General features: G+C 49.4%; 1 protein-coding gene across 15 annotated transcripts in view, besides 2 other annotated features; it reads left to right on the top strand.

Moving 5' to 3' along the window:
- The window catches only part of SLC2A5 (solute carrier family 2 member 5), a 59,090-nt gene that overhangs the window by 17,636 nt on the left and 19,782 nt on the right, over window positions 1-21,672 (top strand). For 6 of the 15 annotated variants that reach the window (XM_047428615.1, XM_047428614.1, XM_047428606.1 and 3 more), the window contains exons 3-5: window positions 6,966-7,056; window positions 18,310-18,408; window positions 18,952-19,112. In XM_047428615.1, the coding sequence (XP_047284571.1) occupies window positions 7,024-7,056; window positions 18,310-18,408; window positions 18,952-19,112 (293 nt within the window). In that variant the 5' untranslated portion in view covers window positions 6,966-7,023. Of the gene's footprint in view, window positions 1-3,403; window positions 3,485-4,174; window positions 4,257-4,300; window positions 4,512-4,831; window positions 4,888-6,924; window positions 7,057-18,309; window positions 18,409-18,951; window positions 19,113-21,672 lie in introns of those variants that run through there. The other 9 variants (NM_003039.3, NM_001135585.2, XM_047428594.1 and 6 more) reach the window with 8 other exon arrangements.
- Window positions 179-268: an enhancer, noted in NCBI's record as "active region_113". NCBI's record gives its function as "activates an Ori minimal core promoter by ATAC-STARR-seq in GM12878 lymphoblastoid cells {active_cell/tissue: GM12878}" and the evidence as "EXISTENCE:reporter gene assay evidence [ECO:0000049][PMID:35858748]".
- Window positions 18,046-18,546: an enhancer, noted in NCBI's record as "H3K4me1 hESC enhancer chr1:9118073-9118573 (GRCh37/hg19 assembly coordinates)". NCBI's record gives its function as "activates a minimal SCP1, AML or CMV promoter by ChIP-STARR-seq in naive H9 embryonic stem cells {active_cell/tissue: H9 hESC(naive)}" and the evidence as "EXISTENCE:reporter gene assay evidence [ECO:0000049][PMID:30033119]".

Here is a 21,672-nt window from a genome sequence, read left to right as displayed (position 1 = left end):
GTGCATCAAAGGCACATATAGGCATTTCTGCTATCATGTGATATACCTGTTCCTAAAGAACATGACATTCTGCCAAGTGGCACATCAAAATAACAGGGCTTAAGGGGAGAAATGACTGGCAAGGACCACTTGAATCCTATGCGGTTTTACAATCTGAACACAAACAAGTATAAATGCAGTCTTGATAAGCACAGCAGCTAGGGCAGATCTCCATCGCCTGGGGGAACTTCTGCTTTCTCTTCTCAGATTAGGGTCTTTGGGCCTTTCACTCCTAGTAGAGCTGTTTCATCAAAATTGAAAATCCGGCCAGGTGCAGTGGCTCACGCCTGTAATCCCAGCACTTTGGGAGGCCGAGGCGGTCAGATCATTTGAGGTCAGGAGTTCTAGAACAGCCTGGCCAACATGGCGAAACCCCGCCTCTACTAAAAATACAAAAATTAGCCAGGCGTAGTGGCGTGCGTCTGTAATTCCAGTTACTCGGGAGGCTGAGGCAAGAGAATCGCTTGAATCTGGGAGGTGGAGGTTGCAGTGAGCTGAGATTGTGCCACTGCACCCCAGCCTGGGCAACACTGTGAGACTCCGTCTCAAAAAAAAAAAAATGCCGGGCGCGGTGGCTCACGCCTGTAATCCCAGCACTTTGGGAGGCCGAGGTGGGTGGATCACCTCAGGTCAGGAGTTCGAGACCAGCTTGACCAACATGGTGAAACCCCGTTTCTACTAAAAATACAAAAATTAGCTGGGCATGGTGGCAGGTGCCTGTAATCCCAACTACTTGGGAGGTTGAGGCAGGAGAATCACTTGAACTTGGGAGGCCGAGGTTACAGTGAGTTGAGATCATGCCATTGCACTCCAGCCTGGGGGACAAGAGTGAGACTTCGTCTCAAAAAAAAAAAATTGAAAATCCAATGCAGGCTATAATCAATTAAAACAAACAAATTACATATGAAAATATCTTCAACTGTCCTGCTAACTCCACCATTTAGTTTAAGATTATTGAAAGGGTCACAGGGGAGTGACAACTGTCTGGGCCAGTGGCACGGGAGTAAAAGAATTTACCAAGACAGTTGTAGGTAGAGAAAGATAGATTTATTAGAGAAAGTAGGAAAATATGTTGCAAGGAGGCAACGGGCGGTATCAGCAGAAGAGGAGCGGACTGCAAGGAAACAGGCTTGCTGGAGATTTTATAGGATGGCTCTTGGGATGTTGGATTACGCCACGGCTGCAGGAGCTAACCTGCCTTCTTCTGTCAACCGGGATGTTTGATAAATTGAGGTGTTTGATGTGAAACGGGAAGTCTGTGAGTTATGTGTGTTATTTGCTCAGGAGGGCTACACTTCCTGGGACATAAACACAGACAGACCTATAACTCATCTGCTTCCTCTTTGTTTATCTGTTGTGGACCATGAAGAGAGGCAGATTTATAGCTTATTTGCTTTCTCTTTTGCTTTCCCCTGGTGCTGCCAACCTGACTCCTTTTCCCTAATTAGGACTCCACAGAAAGCTTGGAAAGCACTTCTTTTTTTTTTTGTTTTGTTTTTTGAGATGGGATCTCACTCTGTTGCTCAAGCCGAGTTCTGTGGCTCAGTCACATCTCACTGCAGCCTGAAGTTCCTGGCTCAAGCAATTCTTCTGCCTCAGCCTCTCAAGTAGCTGGGACTATAGGTGCACACCACCACACCCAGATAATTTTTGATTATTTGTAGAGATAAGGTCTCACTGTGTTGCCCAGGCTGGTCTCGAACTCCTGGGCTCAAGCGATCCTCCTGCCTCAGCCTCCCAAAATGCTGGGATTACAGGAGAAAGCGCTTCTTGAAATCACAAAACCAGCCCAGAGCCCTGCAGAATTTTCAGCGTTTTCTCTTTAAGGTCTTCATATGTTGTGTAAAGGAAAATAAAAAACTCAGGACCCCAATTCACTCTGCCAAAAAGGAAAAACAAAATTAAGCTGAAAGCTGAGTCATGCAAGGAGCTGTCTTTCCTTATGTTCCTAAGCAGACAGCGACAGATAAAAGGTTAAGTATCCCCACAAGTAGCTACTCTGTGTTCACCTCACTTTATGTAAAGTGCTGATTTACTGAGCAAGAGACAGACATGTAATTGCTGATTCCTCTACTTGTACCTTTTCTCTTGTAACATGTAGGTTACCATACTCTCCCTCTTTCCCCTCCAGCCAGCTTTTCTTTAAATATCGACGCCCTCAAAATCATCTTTGGAGAAAGGCACAGACCACAGACTATTTCTGAGATTCTGCTTTTTTCTTCTGGGCATGTCCTTAACCTTGGCAAAATAGACTTCTAAATTGATTGAGACCTGTCTCAGATACTTTTTGGTTTACAGTTGCTAAGCCTTGCTCTTTCATTGAGAGAATGCTTGCCCCCCTCCGCTCCACCACCACCTCAAACTATTATATGAACATGCTGCTAAGAACACAAACACAATTTCTGCATTCTACTGACGTATTTTTTTTTTTTTAATTTTTGGAGATGGAGTTTTGCGCTGTCACCCAGGCTGAAGTGCAGTGGTTTGATCTCAGCCCACTGCAACCTCCACTACCTGGGTTCAAGCGATTCTCCCGCCTTAGCCTCCTGAGTAGGTGGGGTTACGGGCTCCCGCCACCAAGCCTGGCTAATTCTTGTATTTTTAATAGAGACCGGGTTTCACCATGTTGGCCAGTCTGGTCTTGAATTCCTGTAATCCGCCTGCCTTGGCCTCCCAAAGTGCTGGGATTACAGGCGTGAGCCACCGCGCCCGGCCAGCATTCTCTTGTTTACCATCTGCAAATGAACTAACTAACTCACAGTACAGAAGCATGTACTGAGTGAGGCAGAAGAGACTCCACCATTTGCACCACCAGGGGCTTTGGTAGAATATCTTCCTGTTTTCTGTCCTAACAGATTTTCAGGCATCCATTTAATAGTTCTACCAGTGAGAAACGGTTTCAGCTGCAAGTGACAGAAAACAAAATGAAGTATTTTTCTTCCCTACTAAGTCAAGTTGGTGGTGGGGAGCTGGGATGGTGCTCCACAGGGTAAGGGGCCCCAGCTCCTCCTAGCTTGGTGCTCTGTCCTGTGGGGCTTCAATCTCAAGGCCCAAGCTGGTGGCATCTACATTCCAGGAAGCAGGATGGAGAAATAGGCAAAGCTAAGAGAGCAAAGTTTCTGGAAGCTGCCTGCCATATGGCATCTTGCATACACTGCATTAAGCGGAACTTTATGTCTGTACTGACTGCAAGAGCAATGGGGAAATGTCTTTATTTTGGGCAGCCGCAGGTCTTGTTCCCAATTCTATTACTACAGAAGAGGCACTGACCAAATGGATTTATGGATGGGGAGGAGAAGCCATTAGCAGCCTGTACAAAAGAGGCCCGTGGCAAAACTTTAAAATTCTAGAACATTCCTAGCAGAGGTGAGGCCAGTAGTGACTGAAGTCCTGGTATCATTGTCTGGTCACAGAACAGCCCGGAGATGTGCCAGCTTGCTTTGTGGTATGGTGTTAACCCAATATTTTGCCCTGGTTAAATTTTTCTTATATAAAACATTTGCTTTTCATTCTGATTCAGAAAAGTAACTTTTATTTCTGTTTTACTTTTTTTTTTTGGAGACAAGAGTCTCGCTCTGTCACCCAGGCTGAAGTGTAGTAGTGCGATCTCAGCTCACTGCAACTTCCGCCTCTTGGGTTCAAGCGATTCTCCTACTTCAGCCTCCCAAGTAGTTGGAATTACAGGCGCACACCACCACGACCGGCTAATTTTTTTTTTTTTTTTGGCATTTTTAGTAGAAACGGGGTTTCACCATGTTGGCCAGGCTGGTCTCGAACTTCTGACCTCAAGTGATCCACTTGCCCCAGCCTCCCAAAGTGCTGGGTTTACAGGCTACCACGCCTGGCCTAGTTGTGTTTTATTATAACAGTAACAGAAACGCTCCTATTTCCTCTCCCCCATCCTATCACCAAGTGATTGTCAATTTTCCATCCTAAATATCCCTCAAGTGTATCTACTTCTGTCTTCTCCATCCCCATGCTGGTCCAAGTCACATTGTTCTTTCACCTGGGCTACGGCAAAGACCTTCCACTGCTCCTTCTCCCCACTTCCAAATCCAGCGGTCTCTTGTCCCCTCATCAGTTCACCTCTGGACATCCAGATGGAACTTTAATTTTTAATTTTTTTTATTTCTAGGGACAGGGTCTTGCTCTGTCACCTAGGCTGGAGTGCAGTGGCATGATCGAATTCCTGGGCTCAAGCGATCCTCTTGCCTCAGGTTTGCCAGGACCACTCCCCTCCCCCCAGTCCCACCTCACCGCTGCCATCCCCCTCCTCCATCTTTGAGCCACTAGGCTTCTCACAGTCTCCCACCCCGCCCTGCTCGCGGAGCCTGCAGGCCTCGGCCTCATGGCGGCCTGAGGCAGGGGCCTGGAGGCTGGTCCGCCCGCCACGAAGGTTGGGGGGTCCCTGGCCAGAAGCAGGACCCGGGCGAGGCTGAGGGGGACTCTGGCAGAAGCTGAAGGGGACCCGGGTGAGGCTGAGGGGGACTCGGGCAAAGGCGGAGGGGAACCCGGGCTGAGGCTGGGGGGGATCTGGGCTGAGGCAGAGGGGGACCGAGGCTGAGGGGGACCCGGGCTGAGGCAGAGGCCGAGGGGGACCCGGGCTGAGGCAGAGGCCGAGGGGGATCCGGGCTGAGGCAGAGGGGTCCTGGGCAGGGACAGGACCCACCCGGAGCCCGCAGGCCCGCCAGGCAGAGGGACTGGCTGAGCGGCCCGCAGCCTGGCGTCATGACGGCCTCCCGCCACGCCCCCGTCCCCGCGCTCGGCTCCCTCCAGGGCGGAAGCACGGGTCGAGCGTTGGTGACGCCATGGCTGTGCTTGCGACGCCCTGTCACTGGCAGGAACCGGGTACTGCGGCCCGCAGCTCCCGGGATGATCCCCTCTGGGCCTGAGGGCCTGGCTCACTGTCCCCGCTTCCCCGGGCTGGGCCGTCAAGGCGGGGACTGGGAGTGTCCGCGTCCCCCCCAGCGACCCCCGGTTTTAGTTACCCCCTCGCCCAAAGGCAGGGAGAAGTGGAAGATCTGGGCCTAGATAGAAGCAGGTGTCATGCACTTGACATGACTGATGACTACAAACTTTGGACGATTATTTTTGGGGGGAGGATGGGGGACGGAGATGAGTCTCGCTCTGTCGCCCAGGCTGGAGTGCAGTGGTGTGATCTAGGTGCGCTGCAACCTCCGCCTCCCGGGTTCCAGCTATTCTCCTGCCTCAGCCTCCCAAGTAGCTGGGATTACAGGCGTCTGCCACCATGCCTGGCTAATTTTTGTATTTTCGGTAAAGACAGGGTTTCACCATGTTGGTCAGACTGGTCTCGAACTCCTGACCTCAGGTGATCCACCCACCTTGGCTTCCCCAGGTGCTGGGATTACAGGCGTGAGCCACCGCGCCCGGCCGGATTCTTCTTTGTGTTGGATTGCACACCTGTACCCGTCTCCTCACTCCCCCATCGTTGATTTCCTCTCCCCACCCTACCCCTGCAATTAAAGTGCATTTTCTTTGGAAACTTTTTCTAGATCTTTGAAATAATTGGAAACCTCTGGTCTTGCTATGCGTTAGTCACAAGTCAGTGTGCTAGGACAGTGATACGCAGAAGAAAAAGACAGGCAGTAGCTGGTGAAAGGGAATGCTGAGTTCTCCCTTGTGAATAGGGACCCCCCCGACCCCCCAACACACACACACACACAGACGGCCACGCTGCTAGGCTTCTCACAGTCTCCCACCCTGAGCAACCCTGGGGATTTGCTGCTAATGCAAGGAACAGTGCCTAACACAGGCTCCCAGTCTCTGCTTGTTTAAAGATGCATGAGATTCAGAATCAATCACTAAAGTAACTGGATTTACGCCACAGCAAATAGAACTGGGAGTATGTTCTGTAAAGATGAAAACCTGTGGGACTTGTGAGACTTTGGATTTTGGCCACTTGCGCTGGTGTGCCCTGTGGCAGCTGAATGAGTGCCAAACATGGGGGGCTGACAGTGGCCTGGCCTTGAGATGGCCGGACCCGGACCAGCAGGTGTGACTCATTTTCCCTGCCCTGCCTGGAAAGGGGTTCGAGGTATTTACCACCTTCCCAGTAGTGATGAATACACAGAAAGTAACATCCCTAGGTCATTCTGAGCTCCTTAAAATGGAAAATAAGAGGCCGGACACGATGGCTCACGCCTGTAATCCCAGCACTTTGGGAGGCCAAGGAGGGTGGATCACTTGAGGTCAGGAGTTCGAGACCAGCCTGGCCAACATGGCAAAACCCCGTGTCTACTAAAAATATAAAAATTAGCCGAGCGTGGTAGTGCACGCCTGTAATCCCAGCTACTCAGGAGGTGGAAGCAGGAGAATCGCTTGAACTCGGGAGGCGGAGGTTGTAGTGAGCTGAGATCATGCCACTGCACTCCAGCCTGGGACAAGAGCGAAACTCCGTCTCAAAAAAAAAAAAAAAAAAAAAAAAAAACAGAAAATGAGAAACTTTCCCCAAACAGTATTACACGGTGACTTGGGCAAAACTGACTCTCCACCAAGAGACACTTGACTGTAGTTTTCCTGGCAGGGAGAGCATCTTTGAGGTCTCTAGTGGCCCAATCTGTTGCCCTCAGATTACCTGGTGTCATGTAGGGTGGAGGACAGCTGTTGTTTGCCATGCGTTCCTGACAGAAATAACCCTTCCAGTCATTCACCATGAGCCTGACTGGTAGAGACTTTAGCAATGGGGAAATACCGTAGACTGTTCCATCAGGACAATGCTGGGCCTGCAGTCCCCAGGGGGCACCCACTTACTTAGCCAAACCCCAGACGTTTCATTTAAAAGCAGAAGTGAAAGGAAGACCAGGTTCCTGAAAGGGTTATTCTGACTTAATCTGGCTATAAAAATGCTATTGGCTGTTATTTGGCATGGCCAAAGTGCACCCAGAATGTCTTCTCTCTCCATTCAGTGCACGCGTTACTTTGGCTAAAAGGAGGTGAGCGGCACTCTGCCCTTCCAGAGCAAGCATGGAGCAACAGGATCAGAGCATGAAGGAAGGGGTGAGTGTGTTGCTCAGGGAAAGGGGCCAAGAGCAGGCTTGGCTGCCAGGGCCTGTGCAGCCTTCCTGGAGAGTCGCTGGGGGGCTCCTGGTGTTGCAGAGGGAACTCTGTGTTGGGAGGGATTATGGTGGGGAGAGGGGGAAAGTCTTGTCCAGCAGGTGGTCTTTTATAGGGAGGAGAGAGGTTTAGAGACAAGTGCTCTGTGGAAATCATTCTACTGGAACAGCCTTTAACAGCAGGATCTGTAACTGAATGGAAGAGACCCAAAGGATTCATTTGTCCCAACTTGAACCAAACATGTTAGCTGCAAAATCCTTCTATGGTTGGTGAGATGTTTCGCTCTGCTTTCGTTTTGCTTTTGGCTTCAGGGCAGTTAATTTTTTCAGCAAGTAACATAGCTGAGCTGCATGAAAGCAAGATAAACTCAGAAAAGGCGTTGCTTGATTTGAATTTAGTTCAGATCTGTCACGTAGGTTTCCTGCCTTTTAGATCCTGAGGCTCCCTTGTTTTAGAGAGGAAAGATTTTCATGGACTCCTGCAACGTAATTGCAGTTTACTTTCTAGATTCCCTTGATTGAGGAAAATGCATAATGTCAGAAAAGTAACACTGACTTATTAACACTTTATAAGAATTTGCATTTATTCATCACAATAGCATCTGCTTATATTTGGAGTGGAGGAAGGATAGTGCACATTTTTGCAAAACAGCATTTGTTCAGGCATGGATGTGAGACCCTCACCATAGGCAGACTGGAAACATGCTCTGTAGCACATAGATTAAGAGTGGGTCTTGGGAGGCTGAGGTGGGTGGATCACCTGAGGTCAGCAGTTCGAGACCAGCCTGGCCAACATGGTGAAACCCCATCTCTACTAAAAATACAAAAATTAGCCAGGCGTGGTGGCAGGTGCCTGTAATCCCAGCTACTCAGGAGGCTGAGGCAGGAGAATCACTTGAACCTGGGAAACAGAGGCTGCAATGAGCTGAGATCACGCCATTGCACTCCAGCCTGGTCAACAAGAGCGAAACTTCATCTCAAAAAAAAAAAAAAAAAAAGAGTGGGCCTGGGAAGTAGAAGCCCCCAGGATTCATTCCTGCTCCATCCTATTCTAGCTGTGGGACTTGGGTAAGTTCTTTAACTCTTCAGTGCCTCAGTTTTCTCATTTGTAAAATGGGAGTAATAACCATACCGCCTCATAGGGTGCTGGAGCAATTAAATGAGATAATGCATGTAAAGTACCTGGCACAGAGTGAGTTCCCCGTAAATGTTACTACTTTTCTTTCTCTCTCTCTCGCTTTTTTTTTTTTTTTTTTTTGACACAGAGTCTTGCTCTGTCACCCAGGCTGAAGTACAGTGGTGCGATCAAGGTTCACTGCAACCTCCACCTTCTGGGCTCAAGCGATCCTCCCACCTCAGCCTCCCAAGTAGCTGGGATTACAGGCATGCACCACCACACCCGGCTAATTTTTGTATTTTTAGTAGAGATGGGGTTTCACCATGTTGGCCAGGCTGGTCTAGAACTCCTGACCTCAGGTGATCCGCCCGCCTCGGCCTCCCAAAGTGCTGGGGTTACAGGTGTGAGCCACCGCGCCCGGCCATCGTAAATGTTACTACTTTTCAATCATTCTTTAGGCTGGTTTCTCCACCTCCGCGTGATTTCCATTTGGCACTGGCTAACGCTTCGTTGTAGGGGCTGTCTTGTGTGTTATAAGATGTTTAGCCGCGTCCCTGGCTCTACCTTCTAGACGCAGTAGCTCCCTCCCCCAGGAGTGACAACCGATGTCCCCGAGAGGGCAGAATCCACTCCCAGCCCTCAACTGAGAGGCACTGCTTTGGAGTCTACTCAGCCCCTTCGCTTGGGTCATCTTGTTTGTCTTACAACTAAGAAAGTGTTAGACAAATCAAGTGTCATCACCTCCATTTTATAGAAAAGAAACGGAGGTGATGAGGACTTAGGTGTTTGGGGTCCAGGGAGGTCCTCCGCTGTCCAGAGAAAGGCACAACTGCCACGTTCCCCACGTCCACCAAGTCCAGCTGCAGAAAGGAATGGAAACACCCCCACGTGGCAGGCCCTGAAACTGAGTAACACATTGCGAAAGGAAATGATTCAGATGGCCACATGCGAGAGGCATGGGCTGACCCAGCTGCCTGCTGCCTCAGCCCTCCAGGGAAGGAAGCCTCCTCTGGGCCAGAGGGATGAAGGTGGGGATGGGCTTCCCGCTCCTGAGAGCAGCCTGCCCCTTGGGGAGAAAGCTGGGGCGTGCTGGGCTTCCCAAAACACTCTGAAGGAAGCGATCCCAATGGTCTGTAAGAATCCGGGAAATCATTAAGTGCAGCCGAGAGGGGAGGTAGGAGCCAAGGAGAAATGCGGGGGCAGGCGAAGGCTACAGAGGCTGCGCGGTCCGGGGAGGAGGGCGTCTGGCAGTATGGAGCCAGCTGCCTGCCCCTCAGTGGTTGTGTGGCAGTGGCCTCACTGGCCTTTTCTCTTCTTTTTCTTTCTTTTTCCTTTTTTTTTTTTTTTAATTTTGAGACAGGGTCTTACTCTGTTGGCCAGGCCAGAGTGCAATGGTGGGATCATAGCTCACCGCGGCCTTGAAGTCCGGGGCTCCAGCAATCCTCCCACCTCAGCCTCCCGAGTAGCTGGGACTACAGGCATGTAGCACCACCCTTGGCTAATTTTTAAATATTTTGAAGAGACGGGGTCTCACTATACCCAGGCTGGTCTTGGGCTACTGGGCTCAAGTGTGCCTTCTGCCTCAGCCTCCCAAAGTGCTTGGATTGTAGGCCTGAGCCACTGCACTCAGCCCTGCTTTTCTCCTATGTAGAGGGCAAACACTGACATCTATCAGATGTGCACCAAGGACTTTCTGCCAGGAAGAAAAGACTGTTGGTCTGAAAGAAAAAAAAATAAAATGGATTAGGAAAAGAAAAAGGTACAACAAGGTATTTTACAACTACATAAGAATTGAGGGCCAGGTGCAGTGGCTCTGGCCTATAATCCCATCAGTTTGGGAGGCCGAGGCAAGCGGATTGCTTGAGCCCACAAGTTTGGGACCAGCCTGGGCAACATGGCGAAACTTGGTCTCTACAAAGTGTACAAAAATTAGCTGGGCATGGGGACCGTGCCTATAGTCCCAGCTGCTCTAGAGGCTGAGGTGGGAGGATCGCCTGAGCCTGGGAGGTAGAGTTTGCAGTGAGCAGAGATAGTGCCACTGCGCTCCAGCCTGCGTGACTCCAGCCAGAGTGAGATTCTGTCTCAAAAAAAAAACAAAGGATTGTTGAATAAAGTTCCCCACCTCAATAAAAAGATGCCGAAGTGCTTTGGAAAATAAAGACACATTTTTGTGGAGTGGCTCCACCAGCAACTAGTTGAGTATCCTAGAGCAACTGACACCCCTCTGTGCTCTCCGGGTCCTCACTGATATTCATTTGTAATTAATGGATTAATTAACCCATTTGTAACACCTACTACAGACCAGGCATGGTCCTAAGTGTTCTATACCAGTGAACTCATTTATTCCTGTGGTGGTATCATTATCCTCAAAAAAAAATTTTTTTTTTGAGGCAGGGTCTGGCTCTATCACCCAGGCAGGAGTACAGTGGCACAATCACGGCTCATTGCAGCCTCCTGGGCTCAAGAGATACTCCTGCCTTGTTTTTAAATTTTTTCGTAGAGACGAGGTCTCACTATGTTGCCCAGGCTGGTCTCAAACTCCTGGGCTCAAGCCATCCTCCTGCCTCGGCCTCCCAAAGTGCTGGGATTATAGGCATGGACCACCAGGCCAGGCCCATTATCCCCATTCTAAAGGTGAAGGAACTGAGAAGCTCAGGGAGTTGCCCAAGGCCACACAGCCCAGCAGAGCCAGGCTTCGAGCCCACACTCCTGGGCTCCAGAAACTGTGCTCCAAACCACCGCAGCGGCTGACGATGCTCATCTCTCCCTGCCCCTCCCACTACCTGTTTGTGAAACTGAGTTCAACAGTGTGATAAAGTGACATAGCTTGAAGTACTGATCCTCCATGAGCGCTAACTACTCCGGGGTGTTTGCATTCTGACTGCAGATTCCTAACAAGGAAAAGCTTTGAACTGAGAGAATGTCTCTCTGACAACAGAAACTTCAGGATGGATTTCTAAGGGAGATGGTTTGGGCTTCCTTCCCAGTGACCTTGAATCGTACCCTGTCAGAAGGTCAGCCTTGAGGATTGTCAACCTAAAAAAAGAAACTGTAGCAAAATGAATGTAGAGAGTGTACTGGGGCCAAGGTTGAGGACTGTAGCCCTGGGAAACACTGGGAAGTACTTTGGAGAGCATAGGAGAAGTTCAAGTTTTTAAAGAAAAAAGGACAAATCAGGAGAGGAGTGATTACAAACGGTGTTTGTTAGGAATTCTCACTGGTTTAGAGAAATGACATTGATTTAGTGATAGGCTATACATTTTTTTTTTTTTTTTTTGAGACAGAATCTTGCTCTTGTTGCCCATCCTGGAGTGCAATGGTGTAATTTCAGCTCACTGCAACCTCCACCTCCCGGGTTCAAGCAATTCTCCTGCCTCAGCCTCCCGAGTAGCTGGGATTACAGACGTGTGCCACCATGCCCGGCTAACTTTTGTATTTTTAGTAGAGACGGGGTTTCACCATGTTGTCCAGGCTGGTCTTGAACTCCTGACCTCGTGATCTGCCCACCTCGGCCTCCCACCAAAGTGCTGGGATTACAGGTGTGAGCCACCGCGCCTGGCCTACATTGTTGACTGTAGAGTATGCGCTGTGGTGTCCGGTGTATGGCATTGTTAGGCTAATTTACTGCTACTTGGTGGCAACACTCAGTGTAGAGTCCACATAGCAGGCAGATGACTTAGCTCACGTGGGAATAAGATGTGACTGCTGCTGTATTTCAGTGCTTTGCTGGCCCGGTCATTTAAAGGGGTACACATCCCCCAAAAAGTTTCTTTTCTTTCTTGGGGTGGTCGTTATTACTAAAGTCTCAAAATGTTCTCTGTATTATGAAAGGGAGGAAGCTGGTTTACTGACAGCATGAGGAATGTGGTTTCTGGTTTTCCCTGAAGCACAGCTCAGCGTCTTGGCAACCTCCTTAGCCTCTAAGGAGAGACCCTCCCGGTCACGGCTGGGGGTCACTGGGGCTTCTCATTTTAACAAGCTGGCCAGAGACCCGCACATCCTCTTCAGCCCCTCCCTTTTCCTTATGCCCTAATCCAGCCCAGTACCAAATTCTTTTTGTTCTCCCTCCTGGAAAGCAAAAAAAGAAAGAAAGAGGGCTTAAGCCTTCTTTCTACTATGTGCCTTTTAAAATGTAGTACTGCATCTTTATTGAGAATATATCTCAATACCATACAATTTCACCCCTCTAAAGTACACAGGCCCAGGCTGGCACTGTGGCTCACACTTATAAAACCAACACTTTGGGAGGCTGAGGCGAGAGGATTGCTTGAGACCAGGAGTTCAAGACTAGCTTGGGCAACATAGCAAGACCCTGTCTCTATAAAAAATGTAAATAGGCCGGGCGCGGTGGCTCACGCCTGTAATCCCAGCACTTTGGGAGGCCGAGGCGGGCGGATCACGAGGTCAGGAGATCGAGACCATCCTGGCTAACACGGTGAAACCCCGTCTCTACTAAAAATACAAAAAATTAGCCGGGCGTGGTAGCGGGCGCCTGTAGTCCCAGCTACTCGGGAGGCTGAGGCAGGAGAATGGCGTGAACCCGGGAGGCGGAGCTTGCAGTGAGCCGAGATCGCGCCACTGCACTCCAGCCTGGGCGACAGAGCGAAGACTCCGTCTCAAAAAAAAAAAAAAAAAAAAAAAAAAAAAAAGTAAATAATAGCCTGATGTGTTGGCTCACACCTGTAATCCCAGCACTCTAGGAGCCCAAGGCAGGTGGATCACTTGAGGTCAGGAGTTTGAGACCAGCCTGGCCAACATGGTGAAACCCCGTCTCTACTAAAAATACAAAAATTAGCCAGGCGTGGTGGCATGCACCTGTAATCCCAGCTATCCGGGAGGCTGAGGCAGGAGAATTGCTTGAACCGAGGAGGTGGAGGCTACAGTGAGCTGAGATTGTGCCACTGCACTCCAGCCTGGGCGACAGAGCGAGACTCTGTCTCAAAACAACAACAAAAAAAATTTAAATAAATAAAGTATACAGGCTGGGCATGGCAGCTCACACCTGTAATACCAGCACTTTGGGAGGCTGAGGCAGGAGGATTGAGACCAGCCTGGGCAACAAAGTGAGACTCTGTCTCTACACACACACACACAAAGTACATATTAATATATAAAAGTATACAATTTATCACCAAAGTGAAATAAGCCAGGCACGGGAAGACAAACACTGCATGATCTCACATGTGGAATCTGAAAAAGTTGAACTCTCTAAGTCGAACTCACAGGGTGAGAAGTGGTGTCTCATGCTGATTTTTATTTGCATTTGCCTCATGGGATAGCAAGTCTTTTTAATTTGCATCCTCAGTAGTCCTCAAAGCTGGTACTTTTAACCCCTACCGTGGCCCGTTCCATTACCCAAGTGCCCATCTGCTGTCTGTTGGCCTCTGCAGTAACCTGGTCTCCCTTCTGCTCTGCACGTAGTAGCTGGAGTAATTTATTTATTTATTTATTTATTTTTTGAGACAGAGTCTTGCTCTGTTTCCCAGACTGGAGTGCAATGGCGTGATCTCGGCTCACTGCAACCTCCATCTCCCAGGTTCAAGCGATTCTCCTGCCTTAGCCTCCCTACTAGCTGGGACTACAGGCATATGCCACCACGCCTGGCTTATTTTTGTATTTTTAGTACAGATGGGGTTTCACCATGTTGCTCAAGCTGGTCTCAAACTCCTGGTCTCAAGTGATCCTCCCGCCTTGGCCTCCCAAACTGCTGGGATTACAGGTGTGAGCCACTGTGCCCAGCCTGGAGTAATTTTTTTAAAGTTCAAATCCTTCCATCCCACTCCTTGGCTACAGAGCACATGGAGGGAACAGATGGAGTGAATATGGAGTGAATACCCAGTCTTTTCTGTGGCCCTCACCCCGGTTTGCCCTCCTTTCCCCACGCTCCAGCCACACTGGCCAAATTCCAGATGCTCAAAGGTTCTGAGCTCCGCCTGCCTCAGGCCTTCCCACATGCTGTTCCCTCTCTCTGAATCACTCTCTTCTCCTTCCTCTCCTCAGCTGAAATATTGCTCCCCAGACCTCTCTTTTTAACCACTCCTGTGTTTTTCTTCTTAGTACTTACTACAGTTACAGTTTATTACATTCTCATGTAGTTTCTTAATGTGTGTCTTTACCATTGACAATAGTCTGCTGGGGGCAGCTGTCTTGCTTACCCGAGGGTACTGTGCTTCCTGGAGTCCAGTTAGCTGGTCATGCATATTTGTTTAATGAAGTTGGCTGGACCGGCAGGGTTAGCGAGAACCCACCTAGAATAACTTTGCTACTCCCAGGAGAGTGAGCCATGATTTCTACTGCGCCCACAGAATGTGCCTGTGGCTTGAATTCAGGGAGGCAGTGAAAGAATGGAGGGTGAATTGAATGCTCTATGCTCAGAGACTCTATAGCCTGATCATTTAGTCGCTCTGATCTCTCCTCCATAGTCTCTCTGATCATTTTTGCTGGGATCCCATCAAAGCGGTCAGGGAGCTGGCTCTCCATGGTGCCTGGCAGAACCCCCAACTCTGGGGCATGAGCCCTGGGAACCAGCCAGCTCCACCAGCTGGGCTGTGCTTGTTGGCTGTGCTGCTGGCCAGAACCCCACCCCTGACCCCAAAGGACTTCAAACCTTAGGGCACTCATCAGACTGAGGGAGTGGTCAAGAGCTGCACTTGGCTGTGTGAATGAAGCTGGTTGCACTTTCGTCTTACTGAGAAGAGAATTAGAAAAGAATTTTTTTTTTTTTTGAGACAGGGTCTCATTTTGTGGCCCAGGCTGGAGTGCAGTGGTGCAACCATAGCTCACTGCAACCTTGAATTCCTGGGCTCAAGTGATCCTCCCACCTCAGCCTCGTGAGTAGCTGGGACCACAGGCGTGTGCCACCACACCCAGCTAATTTTTAAAATTTTTTTGGTAGAGACAGGATTTCCCTATGTTGCCCAATCTGGTCTCAAACTCCAGGGCTCAAGTGATCCTCCTACCTTACTTAGCTTCTCGAAGTGCTGGGATTCAAGTGTTTGCCATCACACTCAGATAGAAGGGATTTTTTCTTTTTTCTTTTTTTTTTTTTTGAGACAGGGTCTTGCACTGTCACCCAGGCTGGAGTGCAGTGGTGCGATCTCAGCTTACTGCAACCTCTGCGTCCCGTGCTCAAGTGATCCTTCCACCTCAGCCTCCTGAGTAGTTGGGATTACAGGTGCACATCATGCCCAGCAAATTTTTGAATTTTTAGTAGAGACGAGGTTTCACCATGTTGCCCGGGCTGGCTGAGAACTCCTGGGCTCAAGCAGTCTACCCATCTCAACCTCCCAAAGTGCTGGGATTTATAGGCATGAGCCGTCGTGCCCAGAAGAGAATTTTTTAATCAACATTTTCTTCCCTTCCCCTCACCCCCACCCCTCTCTCTTTGTCTGTAACAAAATCAAGCAGTAGAACAGCTATAGGGGAGGGATTTTTGTCTGTCTTGTTTGTTCACCGCTATATCCCCAACACTTAGAGCAATGCTTGTTCACATTGGGCGCCCAATATGTTGAATGATTGAATGGCTGAATAGACGAGTGAATGAATGAATACACAGAGCGAATCAGATGGGAGGTGAGCCAAGCCTATTGTGTGTGCATATGTGTGTGTGGGGGGTGGGCTGTGTGTGTGTGGGGTGGGCTGTGTGTATGTGGTGTGTGTGTGGGGTGTGTGTGTGTGGGGGGTGTGTGGGCTGTATGTGTGTATGTGTGGTGTGTGTGGTGTGTGTATTTCTGCCTATGTGTGTGGGGGGTGGGTGTGTATGTGTGTGGTGTGTGTGTGGGGTATGTGTGTGGTGTGTGTATGATGTGTGTGTGGTGTATGTATGTGTGCATATGTGGGGGGGTGGGGTATGGGTGTGTATGTGTGGGGTGTGTGTGGGAGGTGTGTGTGTGTACTGGAGGCATGTGGGGGTGTGGGGTGTGTAGTGTGTGTACATGTAGGGGGCATGTGTGCGTGTGTGTATGTAGTGTGTGTACATTTGGGGGGCGTGTGTGCTTGTGTGTATGTAGTGTGTGTACATGTGGGGGGGCGTGTGTGTGTGTAGTGTTTGTGTACATGTGGGGAGTGTGTGTGTAGTGTGTGTACATGGGGGGTGTGTGTGTATTGTTTGTTACATGAGGGGCGTGTGTGTAGTGTGTGTGTAGTGTGTGTATTGTGTATGTAGTGTGTAGTGTGTGTAGTGTGTATGTAGTGTGTGTGTTGTGTGTGTGTATAGTGTGTGTGTATTGTGTGTGTTGTGTGTGTAGTGTGTGTGTGTAGTGTGTGTATTGTGTGTGTGTGGTGTGTGTGTACTGTATGTGTGTAGTGTGTGTGTGTAGTGTGTGTGTGTGTGTGTGTGTGTGTGTAGTATGTTTTTGCTCTTCACCAGGGCTCCTTGCAGGTGCTGCTCTTCAGAGGTTCACTCCACCCCATCTGGGGCCCCATGACAAGGCAGGAATGATCATTGTTTCTCTCCCTTTCTGGCTCCTCACTTACCTCTCTCAAGACATCCTCTTTAGGCCGGGCACAGTGGCTCATGCCTACAATCCCAGCACTTTGGGAGGCTGAGGCAGGAGGATCGCTTGAGCCCAGGAGTTTGAGACCAGCTTGGACAATATAATGAGACCCCTGTCTCTATAAAAATATATTTTTTAATTAGCCAGGCATGATGGCATGCACCTGTAGTCTCAGCTACTCGGGAGGCTGAGGTGGGAGGATCACTTGAGCCCAGGAGGTTGAGGTCACAGTGAGCTATAATAGCACCACAGCACTCCAGCCAGGGCAAGAAATGTCTCAGAAAAAAAAAAAAAAAAAAGATTCTCTGTAGATTTAGATACCGTGGGATAGTGCTTGTCTTGTCACTGGAGGGCCAAGCATGAACCTGTGTTACCTGTGAAAGGGGGCTCTCTGGCCAGGCGTGGTGGCTCACGCCTGTAATCCCAGTACTTTGGGAGGCCAAGGCAGGCAGATCACGAGGTCAGGAGATTGAGACCATCCTGGCTAACACAGTGAAACCCCGTCTCTACTAAAAAATACAAAAAATTAGCCAGGCGTGGTGGCGGGTGCCTGTAGTCCCAGCTATTTGGGAGGCTAAGGCAGGAGAATGGCGTGAACCCAGGAGGCGGAGCTTGCAGTGAGCCGAGATTGCGCCACTGCACTCCAGCCTGGGTGACAGAGCAAGACTCTGTGTCAAAAAAAAAAAAAAAAAAAAAAAAGAAAGAAAGGCGGCTGTCCATCAGAGTAGATGGAAGAAGGTCCTTTGATGGCAAGTCAGAGAGCAGCGTCCCAAGCTCTCTCCAACAGCAGATTCACCTCTGCAGCTAGACATGGTCGTAATTAATCCTGGCAAACACTCTGGTAGGGAGTGTGATTGTCCTCATTTCAGAGATGAAGAAACTGAAGATCCTAGAAATTAAGCTGAAAAGTGGCAACAGGTAGATTCAAAACTGAGGCCTGTAGATTTTAAGCCCGCAGCTCTTTCCATGTCTGTCTCCTGCTCTTCATTACTAATGAATTTCCTCTTGTCATTAAAGATTGTCTGAAAGGAAATTTTCAGTGGCCAAAATAGCTAAAATTTTCTCTTTTTCTCTTTGATTTTCTGGGAGTTTATGTTTGAGATGGTGCAAGAGCACATTTGCTGCAGTTGGCAAATGCCCCACGTGGCAGGAATGTCACAGGAGCAATTCAAACAGCTGCAGTAGCTGCAGTGTTAGAGAAGTAGGTTTCAGCTTCTCTCTGATCCAGTGGTTCTCAAATGGAGCACTTCCCCACCAGGGGACACTTAACAATGTTGGAAGACATTTGGGTTGTCGCAGCTGGGGAGAGGGGTGCTACTGGCACCATGTTCACAGGATGCTGTAAACATCCTGCTGTGCTCAGGACAGCCCCCATAACAAAGAATTATCAGACCCCAAGTGTCAAAAGTGCCATGGTTGAGAAAGCCTGTAACCCAAGGTGGGTTGAGGGTAGGTTTCAAGGAATGGAGTAGTCTCAAGACTATGGATCTTCAGATTCTGTTACATCTTTCTACGAAACCGAAGTAAAGCGGGAGGGCCCTGGAACCCTGGGGCTGCTTCCTGACCTAAGCTGTGATCTCTGCAGAGGCTGACGCTTGTGCTTGCCCTGGCAACCCTGATAGCTGCCTTTGGGTCATCCTTCCAGTATGGGTACAACGTGGCTGCTGTCAACTCCCCAGCACTGGTAGGTCACTGTGGTGAGCAAGATGTGGGGAGGACGTTTGGAGCAGCCCATTGCCTGGGTGGGACTGGCCAGCGTGGGGCTGTTCACGCAGTGGGTCCTGAAGCAAAGGGAGAGGGAAACACCCTCCGGACACAGCACAGACCCGAGGGAACTCGCAGACACAGGTCTCTTGGGATGGGCCAGGTCTGGATGGACACACAGTGGGCCGGGCTCTAGGAGGGGGCTCAGATCTTCTGTGGCCTTGCTGTTTAGAGGGAATCCGGGGGGGCCAGGGGTCTCCCAGCTGATTGGAAAATTGGAGTCATCCCTTTCTGGCTGAGAAACACCCAGGGTGGTTTGCTGCTGAGAGGCTTCCCAGCCCTCCCGGTGGGTGCCCACCCTTCTCACTGCTCCTGAAGCTCTGTCCTGCCTCCCATCACCCCCCGGTTAATAAGGTTGGTCTCTGTGTGCCCAGGTTATTTCATTGGGTGTCCTAACAGCTAATGTTCTTCTTGCAAAACCGGATCAAATTATTTTGGTGTTCTGTTTTGCTTTGTCTCCTAGCTCATGCAACAATTTTACAATGAGACTTACTATGGTAGGACCGGTGAATTCATGGAAGACTTCCCCTTGACGTTGCTGTGGTCTGTAACCGTGTCCATGTTTCCATTTGGAGGGTTTATCGGATCCCTCCTGGTCGGCCCCTTGGTGAATAAATTTGGCAGGTAAGGGAAGGTGAATTTTTAATTCCCTGAAACTCATAGACCCCCATCAGAGCTAAAATACAGGCCTACAACTGAAATCCTTACCATGAGACTAAGATAATAACCACTGTGGTCATTTTTCTTTTTTCTTTCTTTTTTTTTTTTTTTTTTTTTTTAATTTTTGAGATGGAGTCTTGCTCTGTCAGCCAGGCTGGAATGCAGTGGCGCGATCTTGGCTCACCGCAACCTCCGCCTCCCAGGTTCAAGCGATTCTCCTGCCTCAGCCTCCTGATCCTGGGATCACAGATGTATACCACCATACCCAGCTAATGTATTTCTAGTAGAGACGGAGTTTCACCATGTTGGTCAAGCTGGTCTCAAACTCCTGACCTCAGGTGACCCACCCGCCTCAGCCCCCCAGAGTGCTGGGATTACAGGCGTGAGCCACTGCGCCTGGCCGGTCATTTTTATTTTCTAATGGGGTCAGAAAAGAAGATCAGACATTGACAGTGTTTGGGGACCTAGGCAGGGTCTCAGGGGTTAGAAGCAGGGGTGGCCAGGGATCTACAGGCCCTCGGGCAGACCCGGAAGGAGCCGTGTGTGCTTGTGGAGACCCAGGACTTGCTTCTGCTCATACTGCCCTTTTGCCCCACAGTGTCATCTAGGACATCTCTCTTGTGACACCAGCCTCGTGAACAAAGGGGTCAGGGCTGTATCTTTGCCCCTATTTCTAGAAACATTAGAAATGCCATATTTTATTTCAAAAAAGTGTCCTTAAGATGTCACGCTCCCCCGTATAAATTCCATGGACATTATGGAAGACCTAGTTAGAAAGAGAATTTTAGAGGTCCCCTTGTCCAACCCGTCTAGGGATGAGGAGCACGTGGGGCTGAGTGAGGTCACAGATCTAGTGAGCCCAGAGTAACCCAGACTCTGACTCCTCCTCCAGTATTTCAAGAAAAGAATCTGAGAATAAAAACACACAGCTGGGCGCAGTGGCTCACGTCTGTAATCCCAACACTTTGGGTGGCAGAGGCGGGCGGATCACCTGAGGTCAGGAGTTGGAGACCAGCCTGGCCAACATGGTGAAACTCCGTCTCTACTAAAAATACAAAAATTAGCCGGGCATGGTGGTGGGTGCCTGTAACCCCCCTACTCGGGAGGCTGAGGCCGGAGAATTGCTTGAGCCTGGGAAGCGGAGGTTGCCGTGAGCTAAGATCGCACCATCGCACTCCAGCCTGGGCAACAAGAGCGAAACTCCGTCTCAAAAAACAAACAAACAAAAAACACCGCTGCAGCTTTGGGATCTAACATCCTCTTGAGAGATTAGTGTTGAACCCACAGTTTTCCCTGTGGGCCCTCATGGAGCAGAACATCCCTCCAGTCAGAATCAGACCTGCCGGACACTTCTTGAGTTAAGAGCACGCCGCTTGGCCCACAGATGGAGCTGAAGGTTGCTAATTGAGCTGTCTACTTAGGAGTCTGATAAACACTATTTGGCTATTTGCCGTTTTCTTAAGTATTTGTGGGTGTTATTTATTTCTTTATTTTTTGAGGTAGAGTCTTGCTCTGACGCCCAGGCTGGAGTGCAGTGGTGTGAAATTGGCTCACTGCAACCTCCACCTCCTGGGTTCAAGCCATTCTCCTGCCTCAGCTTCCCAAGTAGCTGGGATTACAGGTGTCTGCCACCACGCGCAGCTAATCTTTGTATTTTTAGTAGAGACAGGGTTTCACCATATTGGCCAGGCTGGTCTCAAACTCCTGGCGTCAAGTGATCCACCCACCTCGGCCTCCCCAAGTGCTGAGATGACAGAGGTGAAACACTGCATGTGGCCAGTGTTATTTAAATAGCAACTAACTTTTATTAATGAGTTCCTATGTGCCAGGCACTGTCCTGACTGTGTTTAGAGGTACTATTACAATCCTCACTTTATTTTTATTTATTTATTTTTGAGATGGAGTCTCGCCCTGTCACCCAGGCTGGAGTGCAATGGTGTGATCTCAGCACACTGCAACCTCTGCCTCCCGGGTTCAAACGATTCTCCTGCCTCGGCCTCCCAAGTAGCTGGGATTACAGGCGCATGCCACCACACCCAGCTAATTTTTTGTATCTTTATTAGAGACGGAGTTTCACCATGTTGGCCAGGCTGGTCTCAAATTCCTGACCTTGTGATCCACCCGCCTTGGCCTCCCAAAGTGCTGAGATTACAGGTGTGAGCCACCGCACCCGGCTAATCCCCACTCCATTTTAAAGATGGGGAAATGGTGCACAGAGAGACACTGTAACTTACCCAAGATCACACAGCTGGGAGGTGGCCAGGACTCCAACCCAGGATGTTTCACTTCTGAGCATGAGCAAGTAATGTCTACACTCTACTTTTGTTACTTAGGGAAAATATCTTCTCAATCTGTTGCTTTATTTTTTTAATCATACATATAGTACCTTTTTTATGCAAAATTTTAAAGTCTTCAAGTGGTCAAATTTATAGATTTTGCTTCTCAACTGAGGACACTTACAAAGCAAACACTATAAATATATATGTGTGAGACAGGGTCTCACTCTGTCACCTAGGTGGGAGTG

Source organism: Homo sapiens, chromosome 1, assembly GCF_000001405.40.
Source record: "Homo sapiens chromosome 1, GRCh38.p14 Primary Assembly".
Classification (NCBI taxonomy): Eukaryota; Metazoa; Chordata; class Mammalia; order Primates; family Hominidae; genus Homo; species Homo sapiens.
Note: the sequence above shows the minus strand (reverse complement) of the source record. Positions and strands in the feature narration are given on the sequence as shown.